The sequence below is a fragment of the Homo sapiens genome, chromosome 10 (genome assembly GCF_000001405.40).
Source record: "Homo sapiens chromosome 10, GRCh38.p14 Primary Assembly".
Classification (NCBI taxonomy): Eukaryota; Metazoa; Chordata; class Mammalia; order Primates; family Hominidae; genus Homo; species Homo sapiens.
In genome coordinates, this window is record NC_000010.11 from 104,351,125 (window position 1) to 104,373,904 (window position 22,780).

The following is a 22,780-nucleotide window of genomic DNA, read 5'->3' on the forward strand; positions in this document are numbered from 1 at the left end:
TGTCCCATTTCAAGCTCATTTCTATTAGCTTGGCTTACAGTGTGGTTCAGCCTGCCTCTCCAGTTCATCTGCCACCTCTCCAGCAACCTCCATGCACATTATGACTCAGCCACATTTCCCTCTTTTTGTCCACCAGATATACAGTGTCAGGTCATGAATGAGATGTCACTGCACAGTTGCCAGTTTTCCTTGCATTTATTCATCAACCCAACACAGTTCTCATAAACTTGACAAACTTACTCTAAACATTATAAGGGAGGATAAAGGCCCGTGGATAGACAAAGCAATCTTAACACAGAAGAATTTGGAATGGGGAACTTGCCCTTCAAGCATGATGACTAACTAAAAACCCACAGTGACAAAACCTTGTGGTACTGACACATGAACAAACCAGAGAGCTCAGAACATACTCATGTCTATTTGGAAACTTCCCCAAACCAATTTGGAAAGAATGGATTGTTTGACATGGGTTGTTGGAAAATTTGCTCACCCCATGGAGAAAAATATAGTTAGATCCCTATCTCACACCATATGGGAAGGAGAACTCCAGATGGATTAGATAACTGAATGTAAAAAAGTAAAACTATGAAGCTAATGGATAGAAAAAAATGATGGGAGAATACCTTTATGACCGTGGGGTTAAGGAGGTCTAAATAATACCAAAAAACTATATAAAAAATATAGGGAAAAAAAGAGCTAAAGAGCCACAGTATCAAAGTTAAGGACTATTGTTCCCTTAAAGACATAAAGGCAGAGTTTCTAGTCTTCTAAAGCAGATTGATGTCCAGGCTTCTCAAAGATATCTGTAAATCAAAAGAAAAAGAAAAAAGATCAATAGAAAAATAGACACAGACACTGAAAAGGCAGTTCACAGAAGGGAATCTCAAGTAGCCTATGAATGTATAAAGAAATGGTCAAAAAATTCACTAGTAGTTAGAGAAGTGAAAATGAAAGCAAAAAATGAGCTTACACTACTTTCATCATATTGACAGAAATTAGAAAATTAGCTAATTAGATGAGTCAATATTTGCAAAGCACTTAGAATAGTATCTGGTATTTACTAAACACTTTATGAGTGTTTAATAAAAAAGACCTATCACCTTCTGGAAGGGATGGATGGAAGTGTTGGATGGAAACCCCACACTGGAGTGCAGCGTAGGGCAGTAACTCTGGTACACAATCTTAAAGTGCTTGGTAAGTACCCAGGGCTTGTACTAGGCTACTGGGCATCGTTGTGCTCTTGGAAAACTGTTCATCTGGCCAGATGAGTTTGAAAATATCACACCCTCTAGATAGTTACAGCCTTCTAGGTTCATGACTTGGCTGGCGTACAGAGATTTTGTGAGAATAAAAAGTGCACACCTTTCTCCAGTAGGGCACATGGCACGGGAAAGAGAGTAGAGACAGTTTTTCAGCCTCCATTGCCCCATGGCTGGATGTGTTTGTGCAGGACGCAGCTGCATAAGCAAATGTCCCTGTGCATCCCTATAACTTTAACAATCTTACTCCTTGGCATATATTTCAGAGGAATTTGCACAGAGGTCCTTAAGGGACCACGGACAAAGACGATCATGGCTGTATTACTTGATGTATTGGAGAATTAGAGGCGGCCTTGTTACCTAACACCTGGGGAATGGAAGTGAAGTGTGGTAGATGCCCCTTATGAAACGCTGTGCAGTACTCAGAAGCAATGAACTATATGCTTGCCAATCGCAACGAGGACAGATCCTTAAAAAGAATGTTGAGTGAAAAAAGTAGAAAATAAGATAATCTCCAAAGTCCAGTAGCATTATTTAAACATTTTTAAAAAATACACTGATAAAAATTTTGTACATTTCCCAAAAATACATATGGAAGCACAGCAGCATGAATGCCTATGGGGTTGAGGATAGGGGTTGGGAGTAGGGATGGGGATAAAGGGGGAAAATAAAACCAGAGAGGAGTCTTACACATTTCATGAACCAAGGAGTATAATTATTTCAACTATTTGTACCTGAAGTCCAGAAAGAGTGGAGGCAGAAGGGGGAGAAGAGGGCGAAGAAACGTTTTTGGGAGAGGGGTCCCAGAAGAGAGATTTTCGCGATGTGGCGCTACATACGTTTTTCCAGGATGCCTTAAGCTCTGCACCCTATTTTTCTCATCACTAATATTAGATTAAACCCTTTGAAGACAGCGTCTGTGGTTTCTCTACTTCAGCTTTCCCTCCGTGTCTTGCACACAGTAGCTGTTTTACAAGGGTTGAACTGACTGAAGTGAGATTATTCCTCGTTGTCTCGGAAGGCAGAGTGTAGCCGCCAGTCCTTCCCTCATCCGGAACCTTCTGGTCCACATTTCCTTCCAAGCGTTAGTCCTCGGCTCTCCATGCTTGGCTCCCTAGTGTCACACACCGTCCTTTCTGGGTGGCCTCTTCCAATTCGCCCTCTTCTTTCTCCTGGGTGTCTCCATCTGCCCACACCGTGGGACTCCTCCCAGCCTCTCAGGGGCACCGCCCCCTCACTTCCTTGGCTCCGCCCCATTGGGATATATTTGCATATTTCTCTGAGGAACCCTGCCCAGGTGCCAGCCGCAGAAGCTCCTCCCCTTTCGAATTCCCGCTAGCGCCCCTAGAGGGCGTGTCCGTTGCCAGGCGACGGGCCGACGCGCCGAGCGCGGGTTTCCGCTCGGGGCGGGCGATAGAGACAGCGCGTCGCGCCTTTAGCTTCTTTCCCAGACTCCGGCCCAGCTCCTGCGATCTCCACAGCAGCCTCTGAGGCCGCCCCCAGAGAGCATCAGGATGGCTGAGGTCAGGAGTCAGCGCCCCTCTGTCGCCTTTCCCTTGACCCCTCCCCATTGTCCCTCTCCTACTGACGATTGTCACAAACGGTGATTCCAATATTTCCCCCCATCAACATCTTATTCCCCTGCACCCTCACTCACTCCCGCGCCTTTCTCCGTTGGCTCTGGCCTCTTTACCTCCTGTTTCTCCTTCATTTGTGTGGACACCCCACTATCCCCACTGTGGCATCGGCGCTATGCTAAGTGCGGTAGAAAATTAATGAATTCTGAAATCCACACGTGACATGCACCCAGCCCTAGATTTTTAGTCATGGAGTGATACCATAAGAGAGGCTCACACAGAAATATTGGAGATGTCTTATCTCACAGGGGAAACCGGGAAGAAAGCTTCACAGATGCCTGCTGTCATCCCAATCAATGGCCCTTGTCCACCTGTCACACCCTGATTTCCTAACATGTGATCACCTGCTGTCACACAGCTTCATTAAGGCTCTTCTGCCCATCACCTCTGCCCCGTGTGTTCATTGACTCCTGTGTTAACATCTCGTATCACCCCACCACTCCCCCATATTACAGTACACCCCATTTTCAGCCTCTCCAATGAGGGGTTATTTCTGCAACCCTTCAGTGACTCCCTGCCTGCCCCTTAGCCCCCTCACGTATAACCTCAAGAGCCTCGGGTCCCTGTCATTACTTGCCATTCACAGTCCCCATCCACTATGGCCCTACCCAAATCCTTCATGGCCCCATCAGAGCCCTTCCCCCATCACCCATCCCACGGTCTGTTCCAGCCAGGACCAGCTACATGATTTGCAAGGCCTGATGCAAAGTGAAAACACAAAGTCTCTTCAAAAATTACAAATAATTTTAAGACAGAACAGCAGAGCATTCAACCAAGAATGGGGCCTTTCTGAGCAAGGGGCCCTGTGCAACTGACCAGTTTTCACTCCCATGAAGCCAGCCCAAGCCCCATCATCTTTCAGCACCATCGTGCTCCACCCCCTCCCCACCCCATTCTAGTTACTCTCTTGCTTCCTCTGCACCATTCACATCCCCTCATCATTGCTTTTCCTCCATCTCCAGTCTAGCTTTATAAATTCCGTCTTCCCGTGGTCAACACCTCCTTCCTTTCCTTATCATACGATCTCTTTCATATCATCCATCTTCCTCACGCCTGGGCTCCATCACTCACATCTCTCTCTGACATCCATGCTGCTGTGGCCACTTCACTTCTCCCCATTACCCATAGTCATTTGTATCTCTTTCTTCCCATTTCCTTTCTTGTTCCTTCTAGTTCTTTATTGTCCCATTATTGCTTTTGAGTGTTTTCTCCTCTTTTCTCCCACCAGTCATCTTTGTTTATTTCATTCTTCATTCCCCATAGGGAAGCCCCAGCCTCCCAGAGGCACCAGCCCCTCATTTCCTTGGCTCTGCCCTATTCAGGATATATTTGCATATTTCTGTGAGGAACCCTGCCCAGGTGCCGGCCTCAGAAGCTGCTCCACTATTATGGATTAGTTATTTCCATTTCCCTCTTTCTGTTACTCCTCTCGTTTCTTCCTTTCTTCTACTTTTCTTCTTACTTGACCTCAGCCAACTTTCTCGATTCTGCTTTCACAATTCTCTATTTCCCCTCTGGCCTCATCTTATATTGCAGTTCTCTTTTCCTTTTCCCTTTTCCTTCTCCCCACTAATTGATATTCCCAGAACTTAGGACAGGACAGTGCCTGGCACATAGCAAACAATCAGTGAATAGGTGAAGAATAAAGAAATGCCACAGTTCCTTTCTGATCAGTTCACGTTGATTTCATCCTTCTGAAACAGATACCATTATATGTTATAACAGTGGAAATATCAACTGTTTATTGGCCAAAGCTAAGAGATTATTTTTCCTTTGCTTTTAATGACAATAGGAACAAATCTCTTTTGTTCCTAAAAGTTTCTTTAAAACTTTTCCTTCTTTGGTATTTTTCCATTCCTGTGCTAAGTGCCAGGTAAACAGGTAAAACTTGGACTGCTAACAAATCATTAGGCTGTTGATCAAGTGTTGACGTTAATACCATTTACAGGGATGGAACCAAGAACAGTGCAGTGACAAATTTTTGTGTGTGCTTATGTTTAGCATCAACAAGGGAGAAGAACAGAACAGCAGCAACACCGTATTTCCTTAATATGGTTTTTCCTCCTTTGTGGAATTACTACATTGTGGTCTTTGCAATAATCTGCTTTTAGTCAGGAAGAAAAACCTATGTGAATTTAAAATTAGTACTAAAGTTGTTATACAAAATGCTATAGATATGCTTGTGACTCTACATTTATTTTAATTTACAAAGACTGTTTTGCTTGCATGTCATCGTTAGAGATTTAATTAATAGTACAAGTGTTTTCGAAAACCAAGAATACGTAGACTTTTTCCATATTGGGCAAGACGGGCTTGTCAAAACAGAAGGTAAACTAGACTCCTTAAAATCTTCAGGGTGAATTGAAATTTTACTTTATTATTGGGACTACAGATTGTTTCAGTTGGTTTCTTTTAGCAAGAGAGTGTTGATGCCAAGGCCCTTTGTAGAGTAGAATATTAAAACATAATGTTGCAAACGTAAGTAAGGCCTTGCAAGCCTTATGAGTCCTTTGCTCAAAAGTCTTGAGTGGTTCCCTGTGGCCTGCAGAATAATGCAATCCGTACTCCTTTGAATGTAATTCAGTGTCTTCACTGTGTGTCCCTCACTCCCTAGCTTCCTTCTGGGCCTGCTCAAATGCCAATTTTTTTCTGAGATTTTTTTTTTTATTCTTGCTGCTGGGAATAATTCTCTTTCTGTGGGTTCATAGAGAACTTTGAATACATTTTATGATAGGGATCAAATTCTATGCTTTCATTAACTGCATTCATATCCCACCAGCAATTAAGTATAAATTCCCTGTGGATAAGCTGTTTATTACTCATCTTGTGGATAAGCTGTTTATTCCCAATCCATCATAGAATTTATGTATGGCAGATGTTCAATAAATACTTGCTCAATGAATGAATAAATATATTAACCATACCCATTCTTCTTCATTATTATGTTGTAGCTAACAAGAAGTAGGTGGATTTGTTTGCTAGAGCAGCCATAACAAAGCACCACAAACTGGGTGGCTTACTCCAGTCTGAGCTCATCTTAACTTATTAAATGACTCTGTTCCAAATAAGGTCAGATTAGCAGGGTTAGGACTTCAAAATACCTTTTTGGGGGACACAATTCAACCCCTAAAAGTAGAGAAATAAGAATCCCGATATAACTCACTCTTAGGTTCTCATCTAAGTAATAGCCAGACTTGCTTGAATTATATCTATATGTCTGGGCTTATATTTTGAAATAATTTGTTGCCCATCTAACCATGGAAAGCAAATGTGGAAAAGTCCCATGAGTATTGCACAGGGGCATTTTAGGACACTGTGGGGCATGACCTAGCCTACATTTCTAAGGAATAAAAATGATGGAATCTCTTTTGGGAGATAAGTGCATATTTCAGGTGAGTTTCACTGTATATGTGATTTCATGATATCTATGCCAAGATCTTCCTATGTCTGGCCTCAACACACCGTGGCCACCCCCCGCTGCCCTTTGCAGTCTTAGGGGCAATAAGAAGCAGGGCCCAGTGAAAAGAGACCAGGGTTTGGAATAATCATAATAGCTCTGAAAATTCCTTGAATCCCTACTATTTGCCAGGCATTTGGCTAAATGTTTAACATCAGTGATCTAATTTAATCTAATCCTTAGTAACATCATGTAGTGGGAACTACTTTTATCCTAATGCATATATATTCTGCATATATATCCCAATGCATATATATATATGTAATGTGTATAAATGTATAATGTGTATGTGTGTATATATGTGTGTTTATATACATATATATACACACATATATATGTACATATATACACATATATGTACACATATGTACACATATATACACATATATACACATATATGTACACATATATAAACATATATGTACACATATACACACATATATGTACACATATACACACATATATGTACACATATATACACATATATGTACACATATGTACATATGTACACATATATGTACACATATATACACATATATGTACATATATATACATATGTACATATACACACATATATGTACATATATACACATATGTACATATATATACACACATATATATGTACATATATACACATATATATGTACTTATATATACACATATATATGTACTTATATATGTACATAAGCATCAGGGTCTGAACAAGGACCTTTCCTGTCATATAATCTTAATTTTTCTGCTTATCAGTGGTTTTAATTTTGCTCATATGGAGGTGTTTCATTCAGAGGTAATAGCAGTAATTCCTTGATGGTAATGATGTAAATGTTGCATTGCCCTTTCCCATCCCTGCTTTTTTTCTATAGGAAAAGGGTGGAAAGCAAGTCCTGGAAGAATCTGCATTTGAAGAAATGGAAAGAGATTTTCAGGGAGTTCTCCATGAACTTTCTGGAGACAAAAGTTTGGAAAAATTTCGGATTGAATATGAGAGGCTTCATGCTGTCATGAAAAAGTCTTATGACAATGAAAAGCGTCTGATGGCCAAATGCAGAGAGCTAAATGCAGAGATTGTAGTGAATTCTGCGAAGGTCGCCACTGCCCTTAAGCTCTCTCAGGATGATCAGACCACCATTGCATCCCTAAAGAAGGTCAGTGATCTTCTAGAAATGGAATGAACCTGAATTTAAAACATCATTCTCTCATTATATTGGCACCTCTAGGCTGGTAGTAAATGAGTTATTAGGTAAAAATTTACATGATTTTATATTCATTAAGCCTAAGGAATAATGTTCATTTTCAAAGAAAATGATTTTTTAGCCTGGGTGAATCACATCATGCAGAAAATAATGGAGAATCTTACTTGTTTGGTTTCTGGGAAATAATGGGTTAGGAAAAAGATTTAGAGATAAGTAAATGCAATATTTGGAATCTCAATATATCTTATTTGATGCATGATGAGTAATTTAATACCTCATGATGGTAGTTTAACTGTTAAAGATATTTTCATATTTCTGCTTTTTCTCCTGTTTTAGTAAAGATTGCCTTGAGAATTCCCAGATAGTAATTTTCATGACCTTTCTTCCTAGCACCCCTTTTCTTTCCTCTGAATCCTCCCAGTTCCTCATAATAGGAGAGCAGAGATTCAGTCTGGGGATACTGAGGATGTATTGCTTTGTTTTACACTAGATTTTTTTCATCCTTAAGTGTGTTGCATTATTCTGAAGGTAAAATATAAGTGTTCCTTGTTGACTCATGGTGATAAGAGGTTGAAACATAATTAAAACCCTAAATATGAGAAACAATTTATAAAATTTTTAGACAGTTGCCTTGGTATCATGCAATTAGATACCATCCAGTTCAAATGAATTTCCAAGACCAGTACTAAATAACGATTATCAATTCTCTTAGAAACTACTCACTTTTAAGTGCTATTTTGAAGTTTATTGTCATGTTCTTCTCCTTACTGAAAAACCAATATAAGAAGGCTTAAAGTCATTTTATAATGGAAAAAAACATTTTTCATTGTAAATTTAAAAACTGATAAAGGGCCGGTTGTGGTGGCTTATGCCTGTAATCCCAGCACTCTGGGAGGCCGAGGTGGGTGGATCACCTGAGGTCAGGAGACCAGCCTGGCCAACATGGTGAAACCCCGTCTCTACCAAAAATATAAAAATTAGCTGGGCGTGGTGGCATATGCCTGTAATCCCAGCTACTTGGGAGGCTGATGCAGGAGAATCACTTGAACCAGGAGGTGGAGGTTGCAGTGAGCCAAGATTGTGCCACTGCACTCCAGCCTTGGCAACAGAGCAAGACTCCGTCTCCAAAAACAAAACAAAATAAAACAAAAAACCCAAAACAAACAAAAAAACAAAATCTGGAAATGGAGGTCATGAATGGATTAAAATCTAATTGGTAAAGTTGATTTGGATAAAACTTCTGTAATCATTTTTTAATGTAAATATCTTTCATTTGTTTTGCTAAATATAGCACATATGGTTGCTACATAAGAAATATTGCACAAACTGACATTTTGCTTTGAATCACTGAATTATGTGCTATAGTTACCCAAGAGTAATCTGTCTAATGTAATAGTGACCACGAATTTGTTACATTAAATACTCTCTTCCACCCATTTTATTCCTTGTCAATAAACAAGTGGAATATTTTAACCTAAAGCTTATAGGTTCTTATCTGTATAAAGGACCCACATTCTACTCGACAGAATTTTGCAAGAAAGTTAAGTAGTGGCCTAAAACTCAAAGCTGTTGTGTATTAGTTGGTCACCACATTGCATTAAAGAAATACCTGAGACTGGGTAATTTATAAAGAAAAGAGGCTTAATTGGTTCATGGTTCTGCAGGCTGTCCAGGAAGCATAACACTGGCATCTGCTCAGCTTCTTGGGAGGCCTCAGGAAACTTACAGTCATGGCAGAAGGCAAAGTGGAGCAGACACTTCACATGGGCCAGAGCAGGAGCAAGAGGGGCGGGGGGGAGGTGTCACACACTTTTTAAAAAAAACTTTTAAGTGCAGGGGTACATGTGCAGGATGTTACATAGGTAAACGTGTGTCATGGGGGTTTGTTGTACAGATTATTTAATCACCAGGTATTAAGCCTAGTATCCATTTGTTATTGTTTCCTTATCCTCTCCCTCCTCCTACTCTTCACCCTCCGAAAGGCCCCAGTGTGTGTTATTCCCCTCTATGTGTCCATGTGTTCTCATCATTTAGCTCCCATTTATAAGTGAGAACATGTGGTATTTGGTTGTCATTTCCTGTGTTAGTTTGCTAAGGATAATGGACTCTAGCTCCATCCATGTCCTTGCAAAGGACATGATCTTGTACTTTTTTATGGCTGCATAGTATTTCATGGTTTATATGTACTCTTTATCCAGTCTATCACTGATGAGCATTTGGGTTGATTCCATGTCTTTGCTATTGTCAATAGCACTGTGATGAACATATGCATGCATCACACACTTTTAAATGACCAGATCTCATGAGAACTCACTCACTATCACAAGGACAGTACCAAGAGGATGGTGCTAAACCATTCATGAGAAATCCACCCCCATGATTCAATCACCTCCCACCAGGCCCCACCTCCAACATTGGGGATTACATTTCAATATGAGATTTGGGCAGGGACATACATCCAAATTATGTCATGTTGCAAAATTTACTGTGCTTTTCTCCTTTACTGGAACTGCTGTAATTCACTTTTAAGTATTTATGTCAAAATACACATTGCATTTTATAACAGTAAGGAAGCCAAAGCTGCATGGGTCATTGCCTCCATTCCCCGTTATGGGTTTTCTCCCATATATAAGCATTTGATGAGAAGGCTTGGGCTTCAGTTTCTGAAAAATGGGAATTACCAAGGTTGTTGGGTACAATTAGGTAACAGTAAAGAACATCGTTGTGTGGATTGTTCTAAAGTTCACATTGTCACTAGGAGATCACTTGGGACCAGATGATAAAATATATTTTTTATTTACAAATCTTTCGAGAGGTTTAATTCAGTCTATCAATTTAGGGCTTGGATCTATGATCATTTCTCATGTGATAAAACTTATTTTTTTCCTTTTAATATCTGGACTTAGAAAGCACATAAACTTTCATTTGTAATTTTGCAAACCTTGCAGTAAGTGAGCCTTGTAGCCACACTCAGCTACACAAGAAAAAATACCCTCTGCCAGTCCCTACTTTATTTTTATTTTTTACTTTTTTGAGACAGGGTCTTGCCCTGTCATCCAGGCTAGAGTGCAGTGGCATGATTGCAGCTCACTGCAGCCTCAAATTCCCGGACTCAAGAGGTCTTCTTGCCTCGGCCTCCCGAGTAGCTGAGACTATAGGCCTGTACCACCACGTCCAGTCCAGTCCTCCTCTTTCAGTGTGCTATTCACTATTGACTAGCTCATGTTAAACAATTTAGTCAATGCACATTTATATAACTACACTGTGGTCATGGTATTATTCTGTTTGCTGGTTTATCTTGCATCTAGAATCCAGTTTGGTCTTTCTCACTGATATCCTATGGCCCATCTAGGAAATTGAAAAGGCCTGGAAGATGGTGGACTCAGCCTATGACAAAGAGCAGAAGGCCAAGGAGACGATTCTTGCTCTGAAAGAGGAAATAGTGAACCTGACCAAACTAGTGGAGCAGGGGTCTGGACTGTCAATGGACCAGCATAGCAAGTAGGTCATAGCCTTGTTGATGTATGTTAAACTTGCTTTTGCAGAGGTCTCCTTCAGTAGACAGCCTGGGGCTTGCCAGTGTCTTCTTGAACATTGTCTGTGATACAAGACTCTTCTTTATTGGGTTCTTAGAGATTGTTTTCTGTCTGTTGCATTTTAAGTAATGTTCTTTTCTCCACACCTAAGAACTTCTAATTTGTGGTTATCTTAAACTTCTGCCTCCATAGGAATCAGTAGTATAGTTTCAAAATGAGTAAGATGTTAGGTTTCTCTGCAATTTGTGTAGAATATAACTGGCTAATTTTCTGCCCAGAGTCCCAGCTTCTCCCACCTACTCCCCATGATCAGTCTCATCACCAACCCTCCCACCCTTCAGATTCTAGGCCAGAAAACAGTGCTGCTCTTCCCTCCTCCTGCTCCCCCATCTCTTAAAGCCACTGTCTTGTTGGCTTGGTCTTCTAAGCATGGCCTTTCACTCCTTCTGGTCACCAGTGCTACTGCCTTGGTTCAGGCCTCCTATTCTCTGCCAGATTTGGCAGTAGCGTCCTAACTGGTCTCCCTGCCTACAGAAGACATGTCTTTCTTTATTCCATCATTGCTACCAAATTTAGGCTCCTGAAGCACATGTGCACCTATCCCCAGCATAAACACTTTCAATAGCTACCCATACCCAAAGGATAAAGCCCAGACTCTTGACTGTGTCATCCAGAGCCCTTTGAGAACCTGCCCCAGTCAGCCTCTCTAGCCTCGTGCGAGCCCATCAAGTTGCTCACACCTCCATGCCTTTGTACATGTTGCTTTCCATGCTCAGAGTGCCTTGTCTTCCATTCTCCCCATGGTCAACTTTTATGCCTTCTTTAAGACCCATCTCAAACACTGTCTTAACTTCATCACCATCAGCATCACTGTTCCAACATCCTCTCCACATCCAGACTCCAATGACCACACAGAAAGTCACTATGTTTTCTGTTTCCATAAGACCCAACATTTACCTCCAGTATGGCACTGATCAGATTATATTGAAACTTATTTGTTGATGTGCTTCTCTACCCATTAGGCTGTGAACTCCCTGAAGGAAGGCACCTTTATATCCCCTCCAGGAGCCCAGCACTGTGTGGGGCATGCAAAACATGGCATCAACGAATGAATCAGGAATGAACATACACTTCCTTGGGCAGCCAAGGAAATTAACCAAATCTAATTTTGCTGTTTCAGTTTCTTACGCTTTTTTGATGCATTGATCCAACACTGACAGATAGTTCTAAGTACAGGTGTTGGGAGAGGGAATAGGAAATAAAAACAGAAAATGTGATGCCTGTAGTGTGGGCTTTATCTTCTTGTTAAGGAAGTCAAGCATATTCAGAGCAACTACTGAAGAGGAATGCGAGGGAACTGATTCAGATACGAGACAAGCATTGGAAGAGGGTGAGGAGGAGAATGGAAGAAACAATCCAGCCAATAATTTTATCTTTAACAGTGTGCCCAGGTGTAACTTTCTGTCTTCATAGTAACCTTCGAATTTGAGGTTTTATTTCTGGAGTAGAATTTGAGTGCAGGTTTAAAGTTTCCTTATTAAACATTTGTTACATCAAAGGTGTTGGTAAATATAGTTTGACAAATTACTGTGTTTTGAGCAGTCGTTTGATGACTGTCAGCTGCAAGAGTCTGCAGTGCAAGTTCTCCTCTGCCTTCTCAGCTCCAAGAGCTGCCTTGCTCTACATTCATTCTGCTGCAGAGGTCGTATCAGACACTGAGCTTCCAATTGCAAAGTGCTAATTCTGCAGGAAGTCATGCCAAATCATATGGAATGGCTTTTGAAATTTGGAGGTAACTGGTTTACAATTCAAATCAATGAATATTATCACATAACCTCCAAAAATGGGCATCATGAATGATTTTCCCAATTTTGTTCTTTGTAACATTTTATCTGGGCTGCATTCATTTGGGAGAAACTAATCTTTTTGGGTAAATTGATAGAAAACTAGCAATGCATATTATTTTGTTCTGTTTATGCTTTATTCTAGAGTTTATAGCTGTGATCATAGCCCTCCAGTGGATATATTAAACAAATAGTTTCCTAAATTGACATCTGCTTAGGATTAATTACCAGAGTTGACAATAGCAATATAGTCTTATCATAACAAATTCAAGTAATACAGAGGTGTGGAAAGTATCAACCCCCACAACTTTCCACCCTAAATTTCTCAGAGATAATCAGTGATATGTTTTTCTGGGCTCTGTAAAAATGTCTGTAAAACACACACACACACACACACACACACACACACACACACACACACTCTCACACGCATGAATAGACATTGTATTTTCTTAAAAATAAAAAAATAAATTATACTATGCATGTTATCATTAGTACTTCTTTCCAGTTAACATTTCACAATCTGATCCCATATCATGGCATAAAGATCTTTCTCTTTAATGTCTGAATAGTGTTAATCATTGACCTGACATCTTTCCCATGAAAATGAACTCAGAGAATGATATGAAGGACCCCTGAGCAGATGGCCATTTAGTCTGACTCCTGTGTTCTTCCTTTTTAGCATCCGAGATTTACTGAGGTTCAAAGAAGAAGTGACAAAGGAGAGAGACCAGCTCTTATCAGAAGTGGTAAAATTACGAGAATCCCTAGCTCAGACCACTGAACAGCAGCAGGAAACAGAGCGATCAAAAGAGGAGGCTGAACATGCCATCAGTCAGGTCTGCCATGGAGGGCAAGAAGAAGGAATATTTCCTTCCAGAGGATGTTTGTCCCTCCACAGTCTCTATTCCCATCTTGCTCCTTTCTCAAATTTACCCCCTAGCGCCCAAATGAAACATCCTCAGTTCTGCTTGTTTCTTTAGTTTGTTCTCTTGAGAGGAGCTTTACTTGATTTGAACGACTTGAATTGTTCTTTCTCTGCATTCTCTGTCTGAGAAGTCACTGAGGCGGGCACTCCCTACTTACAATTCTGGCTCAAAAAGATGATCTCCATGAAGGCCAGGGGGCCCAACATCTGGGGGTGGTGGAAGTAGTTTCTTTGGCCCTACTTATTTATTTATTTATTTTTATTAGAAAGCCATTTAGCAGACTTCTTCTGAACACTTTTACATAAAGCCAGAAGTCAAATAGGTCATACACAATGTGCAGTCTCCAAGAGAAAAACATGAGACTTCTTTGAACATGAGATAAGAAAAAGGCTTTTCATAGCATTTGGACATCAAGATAAACCTATAATGCTCTCTTTAGCAATATCCAGGGTCATGTAAAACACAATTTTATACTTAGGGTAGCTAGCCACATTTTATTTAGTCCCTATTGATAAAGAACGGGATGAATTCTTTCCATGTTTAACGCCCCTAGAACTCTGAGCTTCCATATGTATTTGATTTTATACCACACTTTGTGGATTTGTTGCCCACCATCAGGGTAGTCATTTGATTTCAAGGCCCCAAGAAACAGTATAGAATATTCCTGAAAAGTTTGAACACTGGGGCTCAAGGATGTCTGCCCTATAGGGGAAATGCTACTGCAAAGTGCTGCCTTGACAATCACAGACCTGAGAGAGGAGGGGGCTTGGCTGGCTGAGACCTGCCATGGTCAGGGCTCATCTCTTTCTCTCTTGTCCTTTCCGCAACCTCTAGTTCCAACAAGAAATCCAGCAACGTCAGAACGAAGCTTCCCGGGAGTTCCGGAAGAAGGAAAAACTAGAGAAAGAGCTCAAGCAGATTCAGGCAGACATGGACAGCAGGCAGACAGAAATAAAAGCCCTGCAGCAGTATGTGCAGAAGAGCAAGGAGGAGCTTCAGAAGCTGGAGCAGCAGCTGAAGGAGCAGAAGGTGAGTTGGGTGTGGGTCTTCGCAAAAAACCAAGAAAAACCCAGAATGGCACCTTTATTCACCCTTTTGTGCATTTTGAATTCTCTTGGAAAGCAGCAAATTCCCTTCACTACTCGTGCTGATGATGTAAAACTTAGCACTGCAATTTGGTCTTTGAATGGCTCTTATGAGGTAGTTATGCCCCCCCTTTTAAATTTCCCAGCTCTAACAGGTTAATAAGTTTCTTTTTAACCTTCTATTGATCTATACTACACATATAGACAAGTGTATATGTCACAAGTGGACAGCTTGATGAATTTTCACCACTCAACCGCATCTTGGTCACCTGCTCCCAGCCAGAGAAACAGAACATTACCAGCACCCCCAGAAGCCCTTTTGTGCTCCCTCTTAGTCCTTCTCCCCCTAAAATACCATCTCTATCCTGAATTCTAAGCAGAGTTTGGTTTCGCCTGTCTTTATACTTTACAGAAATAAAATATTACAGGATATATTCTTTGTGTCTAACTTCTGCTATATTCTGTTTGTGAGATATATTCATGTTGTTGCCATGTAGTTATAGACTTGTGATGCCCAATATGGTAACCCTTAGCAACAAGTGGCTATTTAAATTCAACTTTATTAAAATGAAATTAAATTAAAAATTCATTTCCTTGGTTGTACCAGCATCATTTCAAGTACTCAGTAGCCACAGATGGCTAGTTGATGCCATATTAGCACAGACAGAGAACATTTACATCACTGCAGAAAGCTCTATTGGACAGAGCTCAGTAGAGCATGAGCTCTCATTGCTGTGCAGTATTCCACTGGGTGAGTATAACAATTTATTTTTAACAGTTTTATTTTTATTTATTTATTTTTATTTTTATTTTTATTTTTTTTGAGATGGAGTCTCTCTGTCACCCAGGCTGGAGCACAGTGGCATGATCTCAGCTCACTGCAACCTCCACCTCCTGGGTTGAAGCGATTCTCCTGCCTCAGTCTCCCGAGTAACTGGAGTCTGCCACCATGCCTGGCTAATTTTTATATTTTTAGTAGAGACAGGGTGTCACCATGTTGGCCAGGCTGGTCTCGAGCTCCTGACCTCAAGTAATCCAACTGTCTTGGCCTCCCAGGGTGCTAGGATTACAGGCATGAGCCACCGCACCCAGCCGACAGGTTTATTTTTAAGTTATTTTCAAGTTTAGCAAACTAGGGTCAGTCTTTATGTATTTTTAATATGGTACTGTTTTTAACACTTCCTCTATTATAGCAGTTTAGGGTGACACAAGTATTAGTAATTGTATTATGTTTTCTCTCATTTCTTAAAGAAGCAATTCATATAATTGAAAAGTCTTTTCTTAAATATGTTTTTCCTCAGGAAGCTTGTTTCCAAAGAATTGTCAAGCCATATAGCAGTTTTATACTCAAAAATAGATATAAATATACTTTTTTTTTGTCCGTTGCTCTATTAATTTTGTATAAAGTCAGAAGTCAAATAGATAATTCACAGTGTGCCGCCTCCAGCAGAAAAACATGAGACTTCTTTGAGCATGAAACATAAGAGAGGCTTTTGGACATCAGGATAAAAACTATTCTCCTATGAAACACAATTTCATTTTTAGCATAACTGGTTACATTTTATTTAGTCCCTATTGATGGAGAATTAGCTGGATTCTTTTCATGCTTAATTTTTGTGTGCATGGAAGTTATATTTTGGAGACATTACCTAAACTGGCTTTCTATTTTTATCCTGCAATTCATTTGCTATCCCTCCACCTCCTCAATATTCCCCCAATAGAAATGAGCCCCCAAGATATAATCCTTTGTTTTTATAAAACCATATCTGCTTAGGATAGTCAAGGCAGGGAAGAGGAAAATCTGGCTGACACTGCACTCAAGCAGATATAAATCACTTTGCTGCTGTTCCACGGTTTCGACTTAAGTTAGATTAAAAGAAAATTGTCTCTGTGTTGGTGTTAGTGAACAGTTCTGTTGACAAAAATGTTGTAGGCATGTTAATGCAGGATTTGCTTCTGAAGATGTAGCTTCCGAGCCCCACAGCTTATAAAATCCGTTTGAATCTCTAGCTCATTTGCAATGATTATAGCAATTGTTGCATATGCGAAGCCTGCCAAATGGCAAACAGGCATTAAAATATTTATCCACCACCTGTGAACAAGACTTCCCAAGGCTCTCAGAAAAAAAATTATGCTCACTGTGTTATTCATTAGAAGGCATCATTTTCCTCAACCGTTTAACATTCATCATATTTGAGTGCGTTAGTGCTTTCATCGGGAATAAAGAACAATTTCTACAAAGACAAAAACTCAGGGTTGCTGTTATCTTCCCAGGAGGTTTGTGGGGCCCCCTGTGTGTATATCCAACTATTGTAATCAGATTAAAAAGCATTAACCAGCTCATTCCATCCCTTTCAGATATTGAATGAGAGAGCTGCAAAGGAACTCGAGCAATTTCAGATGAGAAATGCTAAACTTCAGCAAGAGAATGAACAGCACAGTTTGGTCTGTGAGCAGCTATCCCAGGAAAACCAACAGAAGGCGTTGGAGCTCAAAGTAAACACCAAGTTACATGTCTGTTCCCTAGCTCTTTCTTCCTAACACAGGTTTGCCTTGGCAATTGGAGCCCTCAGTTGGAGAGCCTGTGTTGGCTCTACTGAGTACATTGACACATCAGAGGCAGGTGCAAGCCTATAGTGATTGCTTTAGGCCCAGAAGCAGAGTTTGATGACTTCCATTCTTGTAAAATTGCAAACCTGATTATTGATCATATGGTTATGCAAATGGTTTCCAAAGTGAGCTCAGATGTCTATCTCTGTAACTAGCTTTGCAAGAAACCAGTTGCTCAAATCTAGCAATCCATTCACACGTGTGAACAGCAAAAAATTCAGATTATAGTTACTGCTTGTTGGAGAAGGTGGGATGGAATGGCTGGGAGAGAGACTGATACTACCTAGGGTCTACTTACAGGATTGTGGAATCATGATTTTCACTTCTGTCCAATGTATATTTTGAGACAGATTTCCTATTCTTCTCCTTGCTCTCATTGAAGAGTGCTTGCAAATTCTTCAATTTAGATAGTTTAGATAACAGTTTATACTCCGATGTATATTGTATGCCTACCTGCTTAACAGAGCAGCTTTACGTTTATCACTTTAATTCTGAAAAAAATCCATATTCCCTACTCTGGTTATGTTAGAATACTGGATGTAAAAAGAGTGGCCTAGCAAGAATAATACATAGATTTGGGCAGAGAACCATAACATTTTTATATCACAAACTCTTTTGAGAATCTGATGGTAATATACACATGCACACACTTATTTGCATATCTTACATCTTGTGTTGCATGCATCCCAGAAATAGGAGAGGTTTCCAGGATTTTTCTGAAGTCTAACTGTGGGGTCTGGATTAATAACCACTGAATTAAAACATCTTAGAAATGGAGAGGCCTTAACATCGACTAATTTGAACCCTATAGGGTCTGAGGGTCTGACGCTGAAAAACTTTTAAAACAGCCCAGAATGGGTAGACTTGAAACCATTCTTTATGAGAATGCAATAAGTTAAAGAAGAGATGAGATGACTACTTAAGTCAAAATAATGTATTAGCCCCTAAGGTAAAATTAAAGGAAAAAGACTCATGCCATTAATTCTTTCCCTTGATAATATGAATGGGGCATTTTGAAAGATGGACTATTTCTGTTATCAGATCATGAGCCTAATGGGATTCAGCCTCTAGCAATAATCTGAGGATAACATGAACAGCTAATTTTGGTCTCTTCATTGTTATGAGCTGAGATAATTGCTAACCTTTGTTCGCAAAAGAATCCCAGCTGCTTTTCCAGTCACTTCTAATGGCAAAATTTTAAAAAAGTGAATTTAATTAAAATTTCCAAAATCTGGAAAGCTTGAAGTCTTTAGACAAAAATCGGGTGCTTTTCTTTGCTAGGATTATTTTTGGGGACTGTTTGCCATTTTATAGACTGCCTATTCATACTATGAAATATCTGGTCCACTTATCCATATGTATACCTAGAGACCAACATACTTTGAGGAAGGAGGACCCCTTCTCTAGTGTATATAATTGACCTACAATGGCCCAGTGAGTCCAAAAGAGTGTTTGAATATTTTATATATGTTAATAACCATCTGAGAGAGATCACTTCACAAGTTCATGAAAATTGCTAATCAAATACTGTATACAAAATTCACATATTTTTGATACGTACAACTTAGCATTCTTATCTTATTTGATTCTACAGTTAGATGGTGTATTAGTTCATTTTCACGCTGCTGATAAAGACACACCCAAGACTGGGCAATTTACAAAAGAAAGAGATTTAATTGGACTTACAGTTCCACATGGCTGGGGAGGCCTCACAATCATGGTGGAAGGCAAGGAGGAACAAATCACATCTTATGTGGATGGCAGCAGGCAAAGGGAGAGAACTTGTGTAGGGGAACTCCTCTTTTTAAAACCATCAGATCTCGTGAGACTTAGTTTGTATCAGGAGAATAGCATGGGAAAGACCTGCCCCCGTGATTCAATTACCTCCCATCGGGTTCCTCCCACAACACGTGGGAATTCAAGGTGAGATTTGGGTGGGGACACAGCCAAACCATTTCAGATGGTAACTTGAAACAAAATTTTTCAGTGTTTTTATTATTTTTAGTTTATAAAAATATAAAACATAACCACATATTTTATTCAGTGGACAGTTTTTCAATTTCTCTCAAAACCAAATTGTGTGTGCTTGATTTAATCTCACAGAACAACTTTAAAATGCCATGGGAAGAATTTCCTTTTATTGGTTCTGAGTTTACCATCATCCAGTTCCTGGCTCTTCATTTACAAAGTGACTCATTAATTCTTTCTCACTAATTACAGGCCAAAGAGGAAGAAGTCCATCAAATGCGCCTTGACATCGGGAAGCTCAACAAAATCAGAGAACAAATTCATAAGAAATTGCACCACACCGAAGATCAAAAGGCAGAAGTCGAACAGCACAAAGAAACCCTAAAAAATCAGATTGTGGGATTAGAGAGAGGTAAACCATTTTGCGCTTTTATTCATTTAGAAACATTTTATTGGTGACTGATGTTATCTTGTAACCCAGGGCTCCATGTTTCCAAACACAACCTATGCCAAATGAAATCAGTAAAACAACACTCACACTGGTAAACAGTCAATATGGGGTGGGGTGGGGGGCATCATTTTGAACACCTTAAACTCTTACCTTAAACAATTCTTCCACAGGTTCCATTGGCAAAAATGACAATCCAACCTGAAGTATTATTGCTCAGTATTTGTCCATGGAGTAAATAGCATCTAAACTCTTATGTCTGAGGTTCACATGACCTGCTTTAGTTCTTCTTTTCCACAGAAGATAGTGAATACGTTAGAATGAATGTCCTTCATTAGCAGTATCTGGGACAATATTGCACTAAGAATCAGCGGAACAAAAATGAATGGCTTCTAACATCTTTTCTCTGTCAGTACTTTGCCATGTGATGAACCGCTGTCTTACCGTTATAACCGACCTGTGAAGGGAAAATTTAAGTGCCACAGGGAGGTACAGAGAAATCAGTAAGGACACAAACCCTGGAGTCAGAGCTGCCTGGGTTTAGATCCCGTCTCACCACATCTGGTGGTTGGGGGTGAAATAAGTGAACACAGAGCACTTGTGGGCACTGCCTGGCACACACAGTAAGTGCTAATTACATTCCATCCATCATCATCCAGATATATTCTTGTTTTCTGAATAAAAAATATAATTAAAATACAGTATACTTGTCAAATTTGGTGCAGCAGAAACAGCTCTGGACTTGGAGACAAAGAACCTGGGTATGAATTCTGACTCCACTGAAGTACGTGAGGCAGGAACATCTGTGTCCTGTTGACTTTTCCCAGGTGGCTGTAAGTTGTCAATCACTGAATGAGACAACATACGTAAAAGCACAAAAGCACACATTCCTCACTAAAAGTTAGGTACAATCTAAATCTCTGGATAGAATTATTAGAAATATTTGTCACTAGTGAGACTCTGTCTTAAAAAAAAATTAAGGCAAAGCACGGTGTCTCATGCCCGTAATCTCAGCACTTTGGGAGGCCAAGGCAGGCGGATCACCTGAGGTCAGGAGTTCGAGATCAGCCTGGCCAACATGGTAAAACCCTGTCTCTACCAAAAATACAAAAATTAGCTGGGCATGGTAGCGGGTGCCTGTAATCCCAGCTACTTGGGAGGCTGAGGCAGGAGAATCGCTTGAACCTGGGAGGTGGAGGTTGCAGTGAGCTGAGATTGTGCCACTGCACTCCAGCCTGGGTGACACAGTGAGACTCTGTTTCAAAAAATAAAAAAGAAAAAGAGAGAGAAAAAAAAGAAATATTTGTCACTTAGGTCTTTGTAGATATTTTTCCTTCTAAGACATCAAGAAATAATGTTTTATTGAGATGCAGTTCCAGCTTATCTCAACAGTTTCTCTGTTCATGCATTCAGTAAATCAAACCCAGACTATGGGCAGGCATTATTCTAGGTGCTGGGTGCATGGAGGACCTCCATGGGGTTAAATATTTCGATTTTATTCTTTGTTATGCCACAGTCTAGTGTGAGTTTTCAATCTAACACTTTCTGTGACAGAAATGAAGAAAACTGGAACTTTAAGAGCAATTTTTGTAACTGGCTATCAAAACACTTCCATATTTAAATTTCTGTTTTTGCTTGCAATAGTTCTAAGCTTTGGAAAAAAAAGTTTTACCCATTTGGCGTTGAGCCCAACTCTTCATCCTTAAATCATGTATACAAAGTTATCATTCTCTCTCTTTTGACTACTTTATAGGTATCATCAATATCATTATTTCTTCTTAGGGATCACGTCCTTTTGATGTGTTCAACCAAAAAGTGGCACTGGGCATAATGGTTAGGAGCATGGGTCTCCCTCCTACATGTTATGATTTGCTACCACAGAAACCAAGAAATAAACTGAAAAACTACCAGAACTAACAACAGAGGTTAATAGAGTTCAGTAGGGTGGCAGGTTATAAAATAAATATGTAGATATCAATAGCTTTTTTTCATACCAAAAAAATCAGAGTATATAATGGAAAAAATTCTCTTCACAACAGCAACTAAAGTAATAAAATATCTGTGAATAAAGTTACCAAGATATCTGCAAGATCTATATATTAAAAAAAGCCACAAAATTCTATTGAGGGATATAAAGGAAGACTTGAAAGATGGAGAGATATATTAAGTTCCTGGATGAGAAAACTCAATAGAATAAAAATATAAATCTGTCCAAGTTAATTTATACATTTAATTTTTCCAAAAAAATTTCAGTGAGTTGGGACCTGGCATGGTGGCTTACACCTATAATCCCTGCACTTTGGGAGGCTGAGACAGAAGGATCGCTTAAGGCTAGGGGTTCAAGGCCAGTCTAGGCAACATATTGAGATACTATCTCTTCAAAAAAAAAAATTGCCAGGTGTGGTGGCATGCTCCTGCGCACCTGTAGTGGCACATGCCTATAGTCCCAGCTACTTGGGAGGCTGAGGCAGGAGGATCACTTGAGTCTAGGAGGTCAAGGTTGCAGTGAACTATGATTGCACATACTGCACTCCAGCCTGGGTGACAGAGCAAGTCTCTTTAAAATTCAGTGAGTTATGTTGTATGGGACTCAAAAATTGATTCTAGAGTTCCTCCAGAAGAATAAACATATGAAAATAGAAATGAAATAGAATAGAAATGAAATAGAATAGAAAATAGAAATGAAATCTGGTAAACAAGGGAAGATTTGCCTTCCCAGATGTTTAAATGTATTATAAAGCTTCAATAATCAAATTGTATAGTGATGATGTCCAGATAAACAGATCAATGAAAGAGATTGGAAAGGCCAGAAAA

General features: G+C 39.9%; 1 protein-coding gene and 1 long non-coding RNA gene across 4 annotated transcripts in view, besides 4 other annotated features; one reads left to right on the forward strand and one right to left on the reverse strand.

Moving 5' to 3' along the window:
• Positions 1 to 22,780, forward strand: part of CFAP58 (cilia and flagella associated protein 58) — a 116,583-nt gene that overhangs the window by 12,605 nt on the left and 81,198 nt on the right. For 2 of the 3 annotated variants that reach the window (NM_001400226.1, NM_001400227.1), the window contains 6 exons: positions 7,217 to 7,498; positions 10,899 to 11,047; positions 13,609 to 13,765; positions 14,690 to 14,884; positions 17,299 to 17,436; positions 19,771 to 19,930. In NM_001400226.1, the coding sequence (NP_001387155.1) occupies positions 7,262 to 7,498; positions 10,899 to 11,047; positions 13,609 to 13,765; positions 14,690 to 14,884; positions 17,299 to 17,436; positions 19,771 to 19,930 (1,036 nt within the window). In that variant the 5' untranslated portion in view covers positions 7,217 to 7,261. Of the gene's footprint in view, positions 1 to 2,708; positions 2,783 to 7,216; positions 7,499 to 10,898; positions 11,048 to 13,608; positions 13,766 to 14,689; positions 14,885 to 17,298; positions 17,437 to 19,770; positions 19,931 to 22,780 lie in introns of those variants that run through there. The other variant, NM_001008723.2, reaches the window with a different exon arrangement.
• Positions 104 to 163: an enhancer, noted in NCBI's record as "active region_3986". NCBI's record gives its function as "activates an Ori minimal core promoter by ATAC-STARR-seq in GM12878 lymphoblastoid cells {active_cell/tissue: GM12878}" and the evidence as "EXISTENCE:reporter gene assay evidence [ECO:0000049][PMID:35858748]".
• On the reverse strand, positions 177 to 2,451 carry CFAP58-DT (CFAP58 divergent transcript). Its single transcript, NR_108036.1, has 2 exons — positions 1,994 to 2,451; positions 177 to 803 (listed from the first exon to the last, which is right to left on the reverse strand). It is a non-coding gene; the product is annotated as a CFAP58 divergent transcript (long non-coding RNA).
• Positions 922 to 971: an enhancer, noted in NCBI's record as "active region_3987". NCBI's record gives its function as "activates an Ori minimal core promoter by ATAC-STARR-seq in GM12878 lymphoblastoid cells {active_cell/tissue: GM12878}" and the evidence as "EXISTENCE:reporter gene assay evidence [ECO:0000049][PMID:35858748]".
• Positions 992 to 1,101: an enhancer, noted in NCBI's record as "active region_3988". NCBI's record gives its function as "activates an Ori minimal core promoter by ATAC-STARR-seq in GM12878 lymphoblastoid cells {active_cell/tissue: GM12878}" and the evidence as "EXISTENCE:reporter gene assay evidence [ECO:0000049][PMID:35858748]".
• Positions 2,379 to 2,438: an enhancer, noted in NCBI's record as "active region_3989". NCBI's record gives its function as "activates an Ori minimal core promoter by ATAC-STARR-seq in GM12878 lymphoblastoid cells {active_cell/tissue: GM12878}" and the evidence as "EXISTENCE:reporter gene assay evidence [ECO:0000049][PMID:35858748]".